Raw genomic sequence first — 19,981 nt, 5'->3', positions numbered from 1 at the left:
ACATATACCAGTATGGATCGATCTCTGAAAGGTAATATAAGAATAGAAACAGCAAACTATACAAGTATCTGAATTATAAAATACCATTTAGATAAAAATTTAAAAAACACACCAAACTTTATATTGTTAACATGATATATTTATACATTATATATTTATATATGATATATGTTGCTTATATATTTGTTATATACAGCTACATCATATATTTTTAAAGACACATGTTGTTTATATAAAAATACATAGTGAATGTATCACAAACAAACATGGGCTGGACAGGCATGTCCTCACTCGAGGACAATCTGGAGATGAAGGAAAGAGACAGGGATGGCAGTGATTTGGTGTAGGGGAACTTAAAAAAGATTGGAACCTAATGTAATAAAATGTTATTGTTAAATCTAGGTGGTTGATGGCATATATGCAGATACATGTACTTTTCTGTGTTTTGATGTTTTAAAATTAAAAAAAACAAATGGAAAAGAACTGGTTCTATTTCTTGCTAATATCTTTTCAAATGAACTAACTCTTCAATTAGATAATGCCTATGGGTCTATTTACTCCCTACTGTACCTCATGGATTTGATATGCATAGTTTGACTTTATGTCAAGTTCTGTTCTTTGCAGACCGGGCTCTTCTAGGGCAGAGAGGCCATGTGTGCGTGGGTAGTCCCTTCACTTCACAGAGATGCTGACCAAGGTGTGCAGGGACATGAAACACAGTCCATGCTCTGCTCCCCAAGATATACCCCTGGCACAGGTCTGCATAGTTGCATCCAACCAGAGCAGGCATCTTTTGATGTGTTTTAAAAAATATGTAGATATATATAATATACATATATATAAGCAACATATATATAAATACATAATATATTAATATATCATGTTAACAATATAAAGTTTGGTGTATTATTTAATTTTTATCTAAATGGTATCTTATAATTAGGTGCCCAAGGAGGAACCTATTTCTCATCTGACCATGTAGCGTGGATGCCTTCTTCTATTTGCACAAAGGCATAGTCTAGACTAAAAGCAGACATCATCTAGATTAAGGCTACACTCGAGGTTTTCTCACCTTATTGGGGTACATATTAGCAAAATAGTTGAAAATAAGGTTGAAAACATGTTCACTTTGTCTGGGACAGCCAGAGGGAGGATGGAGGAGGATCCAACTTGTTCACTACTATCCATTTTTCTTTCCAACTGATCATTCAAGAAGCATCTGATGAGCACATTCTAGGTGCTAGGAATAGAAGATTGAATAATATTCAATAATAAATTCTTTCTTCCCTCAAGGAAGTCAGACACTCAGATAATTACACTTCATTGTTTAAAGGCAGTAAGAGAAGGAAACAAGGAGGCTGTGGGATGCCTAACTAAGCAACTGGTGAGGTTATGTGTTTGGCTCAGGGAACAATTCCTGGACATGGTGATGTCCAAGCTGGATTTGAAAGGCTGAGTAGGGTCTGCAGTGGAGAAGGGTATTCCAGATAGAGAAAGCATCCTGATGCCATTTTTCCCCTTTTTTTTTTTTTTTTTTTTTTTGTGGATAAACCATTGCAGGAACGCCCCCTCCTCTATTAGGAGCTGATTTGGTGGATCTGTCAATCAAGGTGCCTGAAAGCCAAGCCCCAGGCAGTTGAAGGGCCAGAGACAGCTGAATCAATCTAGTCCCATGAGACTCTCTCTCCAGGAATTTGACTTTTCAGCAAAGTTATTGCAAAAAAGGAAAATGATTGTTGCAGAGCCCTAAAAAGATTATTCATAGGTGCTGCTACCTGATTTTTAAATCTACTCTGGTTCTCTTTCCATGCCAGATTCTTTAGTTTTTCCTTCAATTCTGTCAGCTATCTTACTTCTTTTCAATAAATTCTTCTTTTTGCTTAAGTTTTCCAGGATCAGTATCTGCAGCTTGAAACTACAAAGCCCTAGCTGATACAGCAACAGCAACAACAAAATCAATGGTGGAAACTAGAAGTCAAGGAAATCTCTTTAATTTATCTGCCAGAAGTCTTTAAGGAAGAATTCCAAGCCCTTTAGAGGCTCTGCTAAAAAAGAAAGAAAAAGGAAAGAAGAAGGGAAGGAGAGAAGGAAGGGAGGGAGGGAAGGAGGGAGGAAGGAAGGAAGGAAGGAAGGAAGGAAGGAAGGAAGGAAGGAAGGAAGGAAGGAAAAGGAAGACGGATTTTCCCACCATGCTGTTACCAGGCAGGTAGAAGTGTGTTAGAAGGTACATTCCTGGGAATGCTGGGCTTGCAGGGAAGATGGATGGATTCCACTGGCATCATTTAAACCTCTTTCACTGGATGGCCTCTGTGTCCTTCTACAGAACAGCTGTTACATGCAGCGCTCAGGAGAAAAAAACAGTACGATGCTGCTTCACATGGAACCCAGCAGGAATCTGCCAGAGACCCCTCTGCAGCTGGAGACAAAGAGACAATTTACCTTGTTGGCCCTCAGGGCAGAAATGGAAATGACAAAGAGTCAAGGACATCAGATTTTGAGCCTGCTGCTGGCTGATCTTCTTAGCTTCTAGCCCACAAAGAAACCCAAGGTCTATTATTGAAGTAAAAACAATTAAAAGTTCTGGCTCTTGCATTGTTTTATAATTACAGCAACATCTCTGGTACAAATTATGACTCATTCACTCTTCAAAGAAATTAGCATCTGGGCCACCACTAAGGAAGCTAGTTTTTGGTTGCATAGTGGCATCACATGGTGCCCACAAAACACTGGAGACATAGCTCCTGAAGGAGAAAGCATTGCTCAACGCTGGAGTGGGGGGAGGGTTCTCTTCTTCAAAGATATGGCATCTCATTGAAAGTTCTTGTGTTCTGACACCCCCTGGTAGGATATCAGTAGTTACAAGGTTTTATTGTGATTTTCATTATCCTACCCTATACTATTGTTAATTGAATGTATCTTAAAAATGACCATCGTAGTTTAGCCTACAGGGAATTTAAAATTGTTCATAAGGCACTTATGAATTTAAGCGAAAGTATTCTGATTTCTTTTAAATTTCTCTGTTGGAGGATGTCAATGGGATTTTCTTTGGCAGATGCTATGGTCTGAATAGTTGTGTCGCCCCCAAATTTATATGTTGAAATGGTAATCCCGAAGGTGATGGTATTAGAAGAGGGGGCCTTTGGGAGGTGATTAGGTCTTGAGGGTGGAGCTCTTATGATTGGAATTAGTACTCTTATAAAAGAGATTCATCTCAGAGAGCTAGCTAGCTCCTGCCACCACATGAGGAAACAGTCAGAGGTGTCATCTATGAATCAGCAAGTGAACCCTCATTGGACATCAAATCTATTGGTGCCTTGATCTTGGACTTACCAGCCTCAAGAACTGTGAGAAATAAATTTCTGTAGTTGGTAAGCCACCCAGTTTATGGTATTTTGTTACAGCAGCTTGAACAGACTAAGGCAGCAGATACATACAAAGCAGTGTCTGAAAGAAAGTGCTCAATCATAAATTCTGTAGCAGCTCAGGGAGAATCAGAATTTTCTCTCTTCTGGTAAATACTTGTTCAAATACTCTCTAGAGTTGCCTCTAGTATCAGTCACAATTTTTGCTATTATAAGTGACAAAAATCCAGGCTTGATCTGGCCTAAGTGTAATGGGGAACTTACCGTCTCTGGTCATTGAAAACTCAAAATGCTGGTTTGGTTTTGACTTAATTTGGAGTCCAATTTATCTCCACTTGACTCTGCTTTCTCCTATGTTGGATTCATTTCCAGGCTCCACAATGTGCCCCAGAAGTTCCAGGTTTATCTTATCACAGGGCCAAACTCACCAAAAGAGAACAAACATTTTGACCTAGAATTACTGAATTATGTGCTAAATCCCTGAAATTCCACCATGATTGGATCAGTTTAGGTCACAAACACTCCAGGGTGGATTCTTACACCCTGTGGGGCTGAGAGTCAGGGAAGATAGATCACCGCAAACCAGCAAATGAACAATCCCAAGAAATCAATGCTGTTTCAGGAGGAAAGGGGAAGAGTTGCTGTAGTGGAAAATCTCAGATGCGCATTACACCTCTTTGCAGTCTAGGGTCCCACTACATATGGTCTGGAACAGAGCAATTGAGCCTTCAGTCTGAGATGTTGCCTTTATTTCTTTTCCTTAGCCCCAGAGATTCTTAAATTCCTCTAACCCCAGATATCCATCGAGAGGAAGATACAGCTCTAACCATGTTGAAAGGATGTGAGGAGGCAAAAACCAACATGTAATCAGCAGGTTTGTCCTTAAATAAGAGATCTTCCAATTCTTTGCAAATCTCCCCAGAGCATATGAAACAGAGTTTAAATAGTTATTTTTCTCTGAAGGAATTTTGTCAGATAGAATTATGCAACCTAAGGACTTTTAGATAGGCCCCTAAAACCAACTAACACGATCTCATATTGACCAGTAGACTTGCTCTGTACCAGGCTGGGTACTAGATACTTGGTTAATTTATTTCCAATAACAGCTCACTGGGAAAGATGCAGTCATCTCCTTTACAATCTAGATGAAGAGACTGCAGGTCAGGCAGGTTAGTTAAGTTTCTGGGCCCACAACAAGTAAGTGAGTCAGCTGGGACTCAAGCTCTATTCAATCTCAGAGCTCCAGGGACTGACCAGCATGCTCCATCCTCCCTCCCATCCTCTGTGAGATTACACACAACTGACACAATCCGTCTCCCTTCCATAAAGGAGAGACAGAGGGGAAAGTCTTCCCTCTGTGACAAAAGGATGCATTTTTAAAATTTTGTAGTAGGAAAGGGAGAATAATACTAACCATTTTTGGATCATCTATTGGGTTTGGGCTACTGGAGTTGAGGGCAAAATCTATTGCAGTCTATTTGAAAACGCATTTTGAGTGGAGGAGAATATGATTCCCCAGGCTTTATTAGATCCAGTTTATGCACCAGGCTGTGCTCAGACAGCAATCAGTGCCAACCAGAGTGCTGGAGGTCGGCGTTAGCAGACACCACTCAGCTCTGCACCTGCCTGCTAGCAACTCCTAAGCACTAGTGAAATGATGCATCAAAAATCTGCCCTGACTCACTCCTAGAGTCTGTCCACACCAGCCTCTGCCACCCCCGCTTTACAGAGGCTACACTTACTAAGATCACTGAAGAACCTCTCACTTCTAAACCCACGTGGAAAGTCATCTCCACACCTCTTTCTGGTTTCCATGGTGCTTGAGAAGATAGACCACTCCTTGGTGCTCAGTATCGTCTCCAACAAGCAATAGCCTCCCTACTGGCTGTCTTCTCTTCTAGGACACTTCTAAGGCATTTCCCATAATTAGGAAGAATTCCAGTGTGTTCCATAGGGGGTCTCTGACTATGTTAATGAGAAATCGGGACCCCGAATAGTGTCACTTTTCCCTGTGGGTTCAATCTGCAGGAATTCCATTAGACAGGCTCAACAGTAAATCTCAAGATTTTTATGAATGGCCTGACTTCTGCATAAGGTTATCCAACAAGAGCGCTTGACACACAAAAAGATTTATTCCTCTCCACCCTAATGTAAACCTGCTTTAGAAGCATGTTTGTAACGTATTTTGAAATTTGAGGTACGGATGTTTTGCCACCAATTAAAGGCAACCATAGTACTTCCTCGCTTTCACTGTGGGAACACAGTCACAACTTTGGGCTGTAGTGGAAGCATATCTTATCATACTTTGGTTGTACCTTGGTATTACCTTTGTTTTTATCTTGGTATCTCGGCTATTACCTCACTTCTCTCATCTTCATTTAAATCTTAATTAAACCTTGTGCCTTTCTCCTATCTCCTGCAGGACAGTATCAGTCAGTGTCCAGTCAGGAAAACAGAAATCACGCAAGATATTTCAATAGTAACAGTTTAATAAGGAGCTAGGTAAACAGGTTTTGGAGGACTGAAAATACACCCAGGAGGTATCATATAAATCTTCACTACAGGAAGCAGCTAGAGGCACAGAGGGAGGATGTTGGAGTGGTCAGGAACCTAGAAGCTTGGGGAAAGGGGTACACAGAGCTAAGATCAAGACCACTGTGTATGGGTGGGGCATGGCCAGCTGGTGCAGGTTCCTCTGGGGCAGTTCGAGAGTGCGGACAAAACTCTGGAAACTGGAGCCAACTACTATAGCTGGGATGAAGGCCATAGAAAAGAAACGATAGAAACAAGAAGCAGAACAGGAATGAGCAAGTCCTTTCACCTTCCCCTCCAATCTCCTCTTCTGCCCGCCCCCCATGAGCAGCACCTGACAAGACCCAGCTTGCGAAGGTGAAATATGGTTTGTAGAACCCGGCTCCAGCATCACCAAGCAGAGCACAGAAGGCAGGGCTTGGAGCTGAGAGACCAGAGGTTATACACCGCACACCTCTTGCAAGCCGCCTTCACCCACTCATCCTCACTACTGTCTTTGATCTTTCTTCAGGGAGAAACATTTGCCCAGAATTTCCATTCCCCGAGCCTGCCACGTAATTATTTCTAATCATCAAAACTCCTCAGTATCCATTGCCTTCATGAGATCTTCCTCAACTGACAGAGAAGAAAAGAGAGCTGTCCGTGTTTGTCCTGTTGCATATGCTGCTCTCCAGTCTTACCTACCAGTATTTTTACTTACTGTTTTTCAGAGATGGGTCTTGCTCTGTTGCCCAGGTACTGACTTCATCCCAGAGGCCCAACCCAGAGATTGGCCCCTCCCTCATCAGCTGCCCCCAGTGGTTGGCCCCGCCCACAGGCTCAACCTTGTAGCTGGCTCCACCCCCAGGTCTGGAGTGCGGTGGTGCAATCATAACTCACGGCAGCCTCGAACTCCTGGCCTCAAGTTATCTATCCTTCTGCCTCAGCCTCGGAGTAGCTGGAATTACAGGTGCAAGTCACCATCCTGGGCCTTACCCGCCAATATTGACAGTGAGGAAATTCCTTATTTTCCAGCTGTCTTTCCTTAGTGGTTTAAGGGTGTCCTGTATATTTAGTGTACTATGAATGATTGAGTAGTCACTCTCAGCTATGTGAATAAAATGCTTACTTTTCTTTATAAAAGCATTTATGTTTCTTTCACAGGTTCCCATTTCCCACCTGATTTAATCCAAACTATTAAATTAGATCTGATCCTAAAATTTTTAAATCACTCGTGGTCTAAAATACTTGAATATCAAATAAATATCCAATTCAAATTAGATATTGATATAATTATTTGCTGTCCAAAAAACACTAGTTTTATGGTTTCTGCCCTCTTCTCAAAGGTTTTCCCTTACCCCCTCTGGGACTTCGGGTTGCCTGTGCCTTTCTATTGCTGGAGGGGAAGGGAAGAGGGAAGGTGTCTGCTCCCACAGGTAAGGATGCATGAATGGAAATGAACTTGATCAACCGGGATGGAATAAAGTATTCTTCAGCAAAGCCCAGCCACTGGTTTCTAGCTGGTCTGCTCTCAGGTACTGGTGATGCCACTGTCCTGGCAAGTGGCTCCCACAGCCTGGGCGGGATGTGTGGCTGCTGTCTCATGGGACTTGTTGGATCATTGTTTGCTTGACTGACACACTCCAGCCTGAGAGTGTCCAGTTGCCTATTGGGTGGTACTGCATCTTTTCCCTCACCCTTGCATGACAGCCTCCAGGGATCCCACCACACTTCTACTGGGCCACGGCTTGCTGGCCTCTGCCACTCAGCCATCAAGTGCTAGTCTCAGGCATTTTACTCTTGGGCTCATTCCTCATCCTTCCCCTGCTAGGCTCTGTTATCACAAGGAGCTGACTCCTACAGGTTTTGTTGCCCAGGCTTCCAGGTCAGCCCAGGCTTCCAGGCTTCTTGGTCCAGGGCCAGGTTCAGCAAATGAGAGGGTTGGCAGGAGATTGAAAGCTGCAGGTGGCATCACACTGGCAGCAACAGGGTGTCCTCTGTGGCTTTAGCTCCCACTGAGCAGATCCTCTGTGGTCTCTGGCCCTTGCACCCCAAAACACCACCTCCATTCTTTGTCTCTCCAGTCTAGTAGAGCTAGTGTTCATTTCTACTTTGCTAATCTCTGGGTTGTCTCACCACCCCCTGTTTGATTCTTGATTCCTTCATCACTTATGTAACCAATTCCTTGCCCTAAATTCCTTCTGTTATGAATACTTGTAAGTATATAAGTATACAAGTGGCTTCTCTTTTCCTGGTTCCATTGACCCAGCCTGGTCTAGATCAATGGACACTACCTTGGCTCTACAGCAAATATATAGTGATCCTTGCCAACTTCTCACCCATTCACTGTGCTGCTCGTGCCAGGCCAGGTCAGCAGATCCTGCTGCCCAGCAAACCCCAGATGGATAACTGGCTCCAGTCCCAATACTTAAACCACCCAAATTCACCAAGAGAAAAAAAATGGCCAGGAATTGCAACTCCGCATACCATTGCAAGTTGTGCTGAGGGAACCATTAGGTGTCTGGAGCTCCACAAATGTCCTCCTTCCACACTTCTCTCCCTTCCCAGGTGCTTTTATTTCCCCAGTGGAAGAGCTGCCAAGCAAATTCTGCCCTCTTTACAACTTGATAAGAATTAGGTGGATCTGACTGTGGTACCTTTCTCTTCAGTAACTTCTGTATCATCTGCTTGGCCTGTGCATGGGGAGCTGACGGGAAAGTCAGGTAACCTGAGGGAGCAAGAAGGAGTCTCAAAGGATATTTCACACCCTATGTAATATATGTACCTGTGTAAGACCCACCCAGAGCCTGAAGTTTTATAGAGACATTCCTAGAAAAATGTAGAATCTGGGGTAAATCCCATCATACTATGTGCTGGATCAAATTAAAGTAAGTATCCAGGGGAATCTTGTAGGGGCAAAAGACATTACAAAAGGGAAACTTGCATTCTCGCAAGAATATGAGCTTGCAAAAAGAAAAAAAGAAGGGTCTTTTCTTTAATGATAGTATAACCCTGTATTTTTATAATGCCACCTGGTAGAAGTTATGTCCTTTTTCCAGTGACCCACACCCCTATTGCACTAAAATATGCCTCTGAGTCTAAACAGTATTCTATGGATGGAGATTCATCCATTTTTCTCATTCACTGACCCCTCATCCCTTAATCACTAACAAGTATATTGAAAAAGCGGTGATTCTATGGAGGCTTCAAATAGAAGTACCACAAAGTAAAACAAAAATAAAATGCCCACTGAACTAAAACAAACAAACAAAAAACGTTAATTATAATTCTATAGGCTATGTTAGACACAATGGATTAAAATTGTGACACCCGCACCCATCAAGTCCAGACCTTGCCACAACCCCTTTATTTTATTTTTATTATTTGAAATTCTCGAGCGATTCAATGTCAGTTTTTCTCTTTGGGATCGTTAGTTTTCAGGGTTAGATAGAGATCAATAGAGATATTTTGAAATTGGCATCTTCGGAGGAGAAATATGTTGTGCAGCTGTACATGGATTGGCCGGTGCTCCGGTTAAGAAAATGGTGTGCTCTTTCATGATTGTGTTCATTGACAGTACCCCAAGCACTATTTCACTCTGTTGCTAAGATTCTGACAGTCTTTTGTAGTATCTTATCTATCACTGAGTGTTCTTCCCTATCCTTTCATACTTGATCTCTGGAGTGGAACTTTGTTTTAAAAGGCTCTGACATGAGAAAGAATGGTTGTCAGCAGACCATTCTCCTTGGGCACAAAGAAAAGTGGTCAAATGTTCAAACATCCAAGTCAAGGACTCAGTCTAGTGCTTGCCCCACCAGGCGAGGCTTCCAAAGTAATCCATCTCATTTCGGGGACTATATGATGGTTGGTATTTTGATCTTGAAAACATGTGCAAAACTGGAAGTCACTTCCCTGAGCATGGTCACCGCCTGTCTTGAAAGAAGCCAGCACTCAGTCACTCACCTGGATGTGAGAAATTTATTTTATTTATTTGTCCTTCTGATAAATGTTTATTGAGTACCAATAATGTGCCAGTCACTATTCTAGGTGCTAGAAACATAGTAATAAACAAAAACAAAATTGATAAAAATCCTTACCCTCATGGAAATTGTACTGTGTTTGTGTAGACAAAAAAATTACTAGGACTTTCTCTCTCATCTATTTCTCATTTATCTAGATTTGGGGAATTGCAACTCCCCACATCATTTCAAGGTGTACCATTGCGTCGTATGCGGAGTTGCAATCTATCTATCTCGTAGGTGGTCATAAATGTTAAGAAGAAAAATAAAGCAGGCAAGGTCGTAGCAGGTTTGTGTAAGAGAGGAAAGTTGCCAGGGAAGGCATCACAGGCATGGTGACATTTGATCAGAGAAATGAAGGAGATGCAGTAATAATCTATGCAGATGTTTGTGGAGCAGCACCTGCAAAGTCACTGAGGCATGCTTGGTAGACCAGCAGAGAAGCTAGTGTAGCCTGAGCCGAGTGACTGGACAACAGAGTAGTAGGAGCTGAGGTCAGAGAGGTGATGGGGACCAGATTGTTCACATCAAGGTCTCTCCTGGCGTCTGCTAGGAATTGTTATTTAGTGTAATAATGAAGCTCATGTGTCGATAAATCACAAATTTGGATTTACTTAATCTTTGTTCAATGTATTTAATATAGTTGGTTTCTTTTCTAATTCCATGTATCTACTTTTATGCATTCTGAGAAAGACTCTATAGACTTCAGCAGTCTTCCCAAGAGGTTCAGATCACAATGCAGGTAAATACTTTTTGATGTAGGGGCTTTAAGTCCCTGCAGGATTTTGGCTTTTACACTGAGTGAGATAATAATTTGTTGGGGAGGATAGACGTGATCACCTAGACTTTTGCATTGAGTATACAAAAGAGCGAGAAGGGTGGGACCAGGAAGTCCAGTTAGGAGGCTATGCCAAGAATTCAGGCAAGAGATCATGGTGGCTTGAACCAGAGTAGCAACAGTGAAGGCAGTGGGAAGTGGATAGATCCTAGAGAGGTTTTAAAGGCAGAGCCAACAGGATTTGCTGGTAGATTGGATATGAGCAAAGGAGTCAGGCAAGAATGACTATGAGATTTTTGGACTCAGCAACTGGAAGCCTGGAGTTGCTTTCCTCTGAGGTAGGAATATAGGCAGGGGGTCATGGAGGAGAGATGGGGAAGGTCAGATTTAGTGTTTGGACATCTTATAATTGAAATGATGATTACATACCCAGGCAGAAATGTCATGTAGGCAGCTGGAGGTGTGGGGAGCCTGAAGGGGTGAGGAGATGTCCTGGCTAGAAATACAAAGTTAGGAATCACGAATCTATACTTGGCATTGAGGCCATGTGACTGGATGACAGTGTCATCCTGGAAAGTGTTACACGAAGAGATGAGGATTTTTTGGCTTTTGTTTTTGAGATGAGATCTTACTCAATTACCTAGGCTGGCATACAGATTTGTGATTCTAGCTCCTCACTGCAACCTTCAACTCCTGGGCTCAAGTGATCCTCCCACCTCAGCCTCCTGAGTAGCTGGGACTACAGGCATACCTCACCATGCCCAGCTCATTTTTAAAATTCTGTAGAGATGGAGTCTTGCTATGTTGCCCAGGATGGTCTCAAATGCCTGGCCTCAAGCAATCCTCCCACCGTGGTCTCCCAAAGTGCTAGGATTTACAGATGTGAGCCACCATGTCTGGCCAGAGATGAGTCTTGATGGTTGTGACCTGGAGCAACCTAATGCTTAGGATCTGTATAAGGAGGAGAAAGAATCAGCCAAGGAGAGCAATCAGTAAGTTAGGAGGAAACCCAGGAGGGTTTGATGTCCCTAAAGCCAAGGGAAGAAAGTGTTTCAAAGAGGAGGAGTGTGTCTCTGTTACATGCCGCTTATAGGTCATGTATGATGAGGCCTGAGAGTTGACCACAGATTTAGCAACTTGGAAGTCATTGGTAATCTAGAAGAGTTTTGGCCAAATGGTTGGGGAAAAAGTCTTATTGAAATAGGTTTAAAAATGAATAAGGACAGAAGAATTAGAGATACTGGGAGTAGGAAAGTCCTTTCAGAAAGTTTTCTCAAAGGGAAACATAAAATTTGAATGATTGCTGGAGAGAAATATGGGAATCAAAAAAGTTTGATAAGATGAGAGAAATATCAGCACTTTTGAATGCTGATATAAATGATTTTTAAAAAGAGGAAACACGAATGATTCAAGTGAGACAGAGCCTTGTTGAGTGATGTCTTTGTGTAGACAAGAGGTGGGTGGTTTCTAGTGGAAGAGCAGAGGGCTTAAACTTAAACAGGAACCTTAAGAGTTTGCCTATAGGAACAGGCAGGAAGGTGGAGTATGTGAGTACTGTGAGTAGATGTGGCGATGAAGCCTGTAGAATTTCTCTTCTGATTGCTGCTGTTTTCTCAAGAGGAATAAGAAGTATAGTCATCAACTAAGTGTGAGAATGAATAAGGGAAAGAAGTCAGACGGTTGGGGAAGGGGAAAAAGGGGAAAAACGGTTGTCTAGGTATATGGAAGTGTGAATGGAATAGCAAAATGCAGTAGGACTGCCAGGCAGCATTTGGGGCCTTATTGGGATTAGTGGTCACATATTTTAGATGAATCTATTCACGATGTTGTATTTTTATCCACTTGTGTTCAACTCTTTGGGTACAGGCCTGAAGTAGATAGAGAGTTGGATTCCATAAGAATTAGCCTTTGTCATCTGAGCGAGATGAAGGGACGACAGAGAACTGAAAGTGGACCCAAGCGAGTAATTGATTAACCGTGAAACTAAACAAAGTGAGTAAGGTAAAGGAATGAGGCCATGAAAATGTTAGGGAGAGTAAAAGGGTGGTAGAGCCAATGAATTTTAGGTCCTACTGCTGTGGAACAATTTTCAGTCAAGGCACTAGAGAGAAACAGTTGGAAAGATAGGAAATGGAGGTCAAAAAGATAAAATAGATGGTTAAAGTAGATGGTTAATTGTGGAAGGGATATGGCTATTGGTAAGGACTAGGTCTAAAGTGTGGCCACAGGAAAGAGATGCTGAAGTAGGGTGGAGAACAAGATCACTGGAGGGAAGGAGGTCAAGAAACCAAGACCTCTCGGAGTGTCATCTATTTGAATACTGGAATCACTAAGAATTAGGTCAGGAGTAATAATGAAGACAATGATTGTAATTAAGCCTGGACATAAAGTCTTTAAGAAATGAGAGTGGCAGTGACCACGGGTCTTTAGAAGTCTGCAACAAGTAGAAGAATGGAGGTACAGTCTAAGGGCATAAAATTTCAAGCTGAGGGTGGTGGAATAATGATCTTTTATCTACCTGAGTCAAGGAAATGATAATTGTCTTCTTAACATGCACTCTTTGATAGAGTTTGGATGTTTGTCCCCTCCAAATCTTATGTAGAAATGTGATCCCCAAAGTTGGAGGTGGGCCTAGTGGGAGGTGTTTGCGTCATGGGAGTGGATCCCTCATGAATAGCTTGGTGCCCTCCCTACAATAATGAGTTCACATGAGAGCTGGTTGTTTAAAAGCATTGTTTAAAAGTGCCTGGCATCTCTCTTGCTCTGTCTCTCACCATATGACATCCCTGCTCTCCCTTTGCCTTCTGCCATGAGTGGAAGCAGCCTGAGGCCCTCACCAGATGCAGATGCCAGTGTTATGCTTCTTGTATAGTCTGCAAAACCACGAGCCAAATAAACCTCTTTTATTTATTATAAATTACTATCTCAGGTATCCCTTTATAATAATACAAAACAGACCAACATGCTCTCCTCAACTCTGTCTCTGGGAACTTTCTTCATTAAGTAGGCAGATGGAGGAAGTGCCTTGTATATTGCAAGACAATAACGCTTGTTTGTTTTTCAGGAAGAATTTATACTTTTTGCCCTAGTTTTGTAGTTCATCTATTTTTCATTGTATACCAGGGTGGCAAACACTCTTCTGAATGTTGGTGAAGGTTGACCCAATTCTCATTCCTAACTCCCTTTTGCCTAGTCACTTTCTGGATAGCAGTAGCTTTTGGGCATCACTGTGTCCACTGAAATATGTGTAGAAGCAATCTGAATGGTGTCTCTGAGGAAGTTTTTCCTTTCCTGAGAAAGGACAGACTCAGTAGTCATTTTCCTTTTGCCATTTGCCTTTCCTACTTCTTTTCCGTTCTGCACAAGAAGGCATTTTTCTTTCAATGATTGCCGCCTCAGGGTGCCACAATCATCTTGTAACTATGAGGTGACAGATATGAAGCACCAAGTATGACTACATTTTAAGGGTGGCAGACCAGAAGGATGGAAAGAGTCTGGGTCCCTCCTTTGTTGAGCCACTGCCCCAGCCCGCAGCTTCTACCTCTGGATCTTCTCATGTGAGGAAAATAAATCACTCTTCCTCAAAGCCAGCACATTAGTTTGGCTCTCTGTTGTTTGTTACTTCTTGCTTTCCTAACTCACAGAGCTACTTTCCTGTGAAGAGAGAAATACTAGTTGGGTTTAAGAAGGAATTTCACAGACTTATTTGTGAGTAACCTTGGTAACCTGTTTTAATACATCTGCCAATAAAAAATGTTTGCCTGAATCTACCTCTTCTTCAAATTACTGCCTTTTTATCATTCCTCATTTCAGTGTCAGATTTCTTTTTTTTATTCAAGAATTATATTGAGGTACAATTGATATACAATGAACAGCACAGATTTAATGTGGATAATCTGATGAACTTGAACATATGTAAACACCCGTGAAACCATCGTGGTGGTCAAGGTAATAGACATATCCAGCACCTCCCAAAAGTTTCTTTGTAATAGACATATCCAGCACCTCCCAAAAGTTTCTTTGTATCCCTTTGTGTTTTTGTTTGTTTATTTGTTTTGTGGTATGAACACTTAACATGAGATCTACCATCTTAACAGATTCTGAAGTGGACAGTACAGTATTGATAACTATAGGCACTATCTTGTACAGCAGATCTCCAGAATTTATTCACCTAGTATAAATGAAAATTTGTACCCATAGAACAACAATTTCCTCTATCCTGCAGCCCCTGGTAGCCACTATTGTATTCTCTACTTCTATGAATTTAACCATGATAGATACCTCATATAAGGTGAATCTTGCAGTATTTGTCATTCTGTAACTAGCGTATTTCACTTAGCGTAATGTCCTCTAGGTTCGTTCATTTTGTTGTAAATGGCAGCATTTTCTTCTTTTGAAAGGCTGAGTAATATGTATGAATGTACCACATTTTCCTTTTTTAATTTTAATTTTAGATTGAGGGGGTATTTGTAGGTTTATTACATGAATATATTGCATAATGCTGGGGTTTGAGCTTCTGTTGAACCCATCACCCAAATAGTGGACATGGTACCCAATAGGTAATTTTTCAAACCTTGTCCCCGCTCCTTTCCTCCCCTCTTTTGCAGTACACAGTGTCTATTGTTTCTGTCTTTAAGTCCATGTGTACCCATTGTTTAGCTCTCACTTACAAATGAGAACATGCGACATTTGATTTTCTGTTTCTGCGTTAATTCACTTAGGATAATGGCTTCCAGCTTTATCCATGTTGTTGCAAAGACATGATTTCATTCTTTTTTTATGACTGTGTAGTATTCCATGGTGTATTTGTACCCCATTTTCTTTATCTTATCCACCATTGATGGGCACATAAGTTAATTCCATGTCTTTGCTATTGTGAATAGTGCTGTGATGGACATATGGGTGCATGTGTCTTTCTGGTAGAATGGTTTCTTTTCCTTTGGGTAGATACCCAGGAATGGGATTGCTGAGTTGAATGGTAGTTTTATTTTTAGTTCTTTGAGAAACCTCCAAATTGCTTTTCCACAGGGGCTGAACTAATTTATATTCCCACCAATACTGTGTAAGTGGTCCCTTTCTCCACATTCTCACCAACATCTATTTTTTTTCTTTTTAGTAATAATAATAGTCATTCTGACTGGTGTGTGAGATAGTATCTCATTGTGGTTTCAATTTGCATTTCTCTGATGATTAATGATGTTGAGGATTTTTTCATGTTTGTTGGCCACTTGTATGTTTTCCTTTGAGAAGTATCTGTTCATGTTCTTTGCCCATTTTTAATGCTTTTTTTCTTGTTGATTTAAGTTCTGTATAGATTCTGGATGTTAGTTCTTTGTCAGATGCATAGTGTGCAAATATTTTCTCCCATTCTGTAGGTTGTCTGTTTACTCTGTTGATTGTTTCTTTTGCTGCACAGAAGCTTTTTAGTTTGATTAAGTCTAATTTGTCAATCTTTGTTTTGGTTGCATTTGCCTTTGAGGACTTAGTCATAAATTCTTTGCCTAGGCTAATGTCCAGAATAATTTTTCCTCGGTTTTCTTCTAGATTTTTTTTTAGTTTGAGATCTCACATCTAAGTCTTTAATCCATCTGGACTTAATTTTTGTAATGGTGAGAGATAGGAGAGATAGGAGTGCAATTTCATTCTTCTGCATATGGTTAGCCAGTTTTCCCAGCACCATTTATTAAATAGAATGTCCTTTCCCCATTGTTTATTTTTGCCAACTTTAGTCAGTGATCAGTTGGTTGTAGGTGTGTGGCTTTATTTCTGGGTTTTCTATTCTGTTCCATTGGTTTATTTGTCTATTTTTATACCAGTAGCACACTGGGTTATTGTAACCTTATAGTATAGTTTGAAGTAAGGTAATGTAATGCCTCCAATATTTTCTTTTTGCTTAGGATTGCTTTGGCTGTTTGGGTTCATTTTTGGTTCCATGTGAATTTTAGAATTTTTTTTCTAATTCTGTGAAAAATGACATTGATTATTTGATAGGAATTGCTTTGAATCTGTAGATTGCTTTGAGTGGTACGGACATTTTAATGATAGTGATTCTTCCCACCCATGAGCATGGGGTGTTTTTCCATTTGTTTGTGTCATCTATGATTGTGTCATCTATGATTTATTTCATTAATGTCTTGTAGTTCTCCTTATAGAGGTTTTTTACCTCCTTGGTTAGGTATATTTCTAGATGTGTGTGCGTGTGTATGTCTATTGCAATGTGATTGTGTTTTTGATTTGGTTCTCAGCTTGAATGTTATTGGTGTATAGAAATGCTATTGATTTTTGTATGTTGATTCTGTATCATGAAACTTTACTAAAGTCTATACAAGGCTTAGGAGTCTTTTGGGGGACTCTTTAGGGTTTTCTAGGTATAGAATCATATTGTTAGTGAACAGAGATAATTTGACTTTCTCTTTTTTGTTATTTGGATGCCTTTTATTTCTTTCTCTTGTTTGATTGCTCTGGCTAGGACTTCCAGTACTATGTTGAATAGGAGTTGTGAGAGTGGGCATCCTTGTCTTGCTTCAGTTCTTAGGGGAAATGCTTCCAACTTTTGCCCATCCAGTATGATGTTGGTTGTGGGCTTGTCATAGATGACTCATTATTTTGAGGTACGTTCCTTCGCTGCCTGGTTTGTTAGGAATTTTTTTTCACAAAGCTATGTTGGATATTATTGAATGCTTTTTCTGTGTCTATTGAGATATTCATACACGGTTTAATTTTAATTCTGATTGTATGTATATATTACATTTTCTTTTTTTATTTTTTATTATTATTATTATTCTTTAAGTTTTGGGGTACATGTGCACAATGTGCAGGTTAGTTACATATGTATACATGTGCCATGCTGGTGCGCTGCACCCACTAACTCGTCATCTAGCATTAGGTATATCTCCCAATGCTATCCCTCCCCCCTCCCCCCACCCCACAACAGTCCCCAGAGTGTAATGTTCCCCTTCCTGTGTCCATGTGATCTCATTGTTCAATTCCCACCTATGAGTGAGAATATGCGGTGTTTGGTTTTTTGTTCTTGCGATAGTTTACTGAGAATGATGATTTCCAATTTCATCCATGTCCCTACAAAGGATATGAACTCATCATTTTTATGGCTGCATAGTATTCCATAGTGTATATGTGCCACATTTTCTTAATCCAGCCTATCATTGTTGGACATTTGGGTTGGTTCCAAGTCTCTGCTATTATGAATAGTGCCACAATAAACATATGTGTGCATGTGTCTTTATAGCAGCATGATTTATAGTCCTTTGGGTATATACCCAGTAATGGGATGGCTGGGTCCAATGGTATTTCTAGTTCTAGATCCCTGAGGAATCGCCACACTGACTTCCACAATGGTTGAACTAGTTTACAGTCCCACCAACAGTGTAAAATGTTCCTATTTCTCCACATCCTCTCCAGCACCTGTTGTTTCCTGACTTTTTAATGATCGCCATTCTAACTTGTGTGAGATGGTATCTCATTGTGGTTTTGATTTGCATTTCTCTGATGGCCAGTGATGGTGAGCATTTTTTCACGTGTTTTTTGGCTGCATAAATGTCTTCTTTTGAGAAGTGTCTGTTCATGTCCTTTGCCCACTTTTTGATGAGGTTGTTTGTTTTTTTCTTGTAAATTTGTTTGAGCTCATTGTAGATTCTGGATATTAGCTCTTTGTCAGATGAGTAGGTTGCGAAAATTTTCTCCCATTTTGTAGGTTGCCTGTTCACTCTGATGGTAGTTTCTTTTGCTGTGCAGAAGCTCTTTAATTTAATTAGATCCCATTTGTCAATTTTGGCTTTTGCTGCCATTGCTTTTGGTGTTTTAGACATGAAGTCCTTGCCCATGCCTATGTCCTGAATAGTAATGCCTAGGTTTTCTTCTAGGGTTTTTATGGTTTTAGGTCTAACGTTTAAGTCTTTAATCCATCTTGAATTGATTTTTGTATAAGGTGTAAGGAAGGGATCCAGTTTCAGCTTTCTACATATGGCTAGCCAGTTTTCCCAGCACCATTTATTAAATAGGGAATCCTTTCCCCATTGCTTGTTTTTCTCAGGTTTGTCAAAGATCAGACAGTCGTAGATATGCGGCGTTATTTCTGAGGGCTCTGATCTGTTCCATTGATCTATATCTCTGTTTTGGTACCAGTACCATGCTGTTTTGGTTACTGTAGCCTTGTAGTATAGTTTGAAGTCAGGTAGTGTGATGCCTCCAGCTTTGTTCTTTTGGCTTAGGATTGACTTGGCAATGCGGGCTCTTTTTTGGTTCCATATGAACTTTAAAGTAGTTTTTTCCAATTCTGTGAAGAAAGTAATTGGTAGCTTGATGATTCAATGCCATCCCCATCAAGCTATATTACATTTTCTTAATCCATTCATCTGTTGATGGACATTTGGGTTGTTTCCAAATCTTGACTATTGAAAATAATGCTACCATGAATGTGAGAGTGCAGATCTCTCTTTGAGGACCTGATTTCAATTTCTTTTTTATATATACCCAGAAGTGGGACTGCTGGATCATATGGTAGTTGTATTTTTAATTTTTGAGGAATCACCATACTGTTTTCTACAGTTGCTGGGCCATTTTACATACACTGTTTTCCATAGCTGCTGGGCCATTTTACATTTTACATTGTACAGAACAGTGTACAAGAGTTCCCTTTTCTCTACATCCTTGCTAATACTTGTTACTTTTTTTTATTACAGCCGTTCTAACAAGGGTGAGGCAATATCCCATTGTAATTTTGATTTACATTTCCCTGATAATTAATGATGTTGAGTATCTTTTAATATATCTGTTAATCATTTGTATGTCTTTGAAGAAAAGTCTATACAAGTCCTTTGCCCATTTTAAAATTGGGTTATACGGGAGGCGGAGCTTGCAGTGAGCAGAGATCGCGCCACTGCACTCCAGCCTGGGTGACAGAGCGAGACTCTGTCTCAAAAAAAAAAAAAAAAAAAAATTGGGTTATATGTTTTTCTGCTATAGAGTTGTAGGTGTTCCTTATATATTTTAGAAATTAACCCCTTATTAGCTATATGGGTTACAAATATTTTTCCCCATTCCATGGTTGCCTTTATTTTACATTCTGATGACTGTTTTGTTTGCTATATAAAAAATTTTTAGTTTGCTGTATTCCCACTTGTCTATATTTGCTTTTATTGCCAGATTTCTTATAGGAGTAGCCCATGCATACCTTCTCTACTCCTTCCACTTGCATTCATGTATTAGGCCACCAGGGTTAATATCTTAGATGACTTCCATGGAAGCCATCATGATTAAGATTCCTGAAGGCCATGTTGCATCTTTTGGGTCCC

Source organism: Homo sapiens, chromosome 10, assembly GCF_000001405.40.
Source record: "Homo sapiens chromosome 10, GRCh38.p14 Primary Assembly".
NCBI classification, from domain to species: Eukaryota; Metazoa; Chordata; class Mammalia; order Primates; family Hominidae; genus Homo; species Homo sapiens.
Note: the sequence above shows the minus strand (reverse complement) of the source record.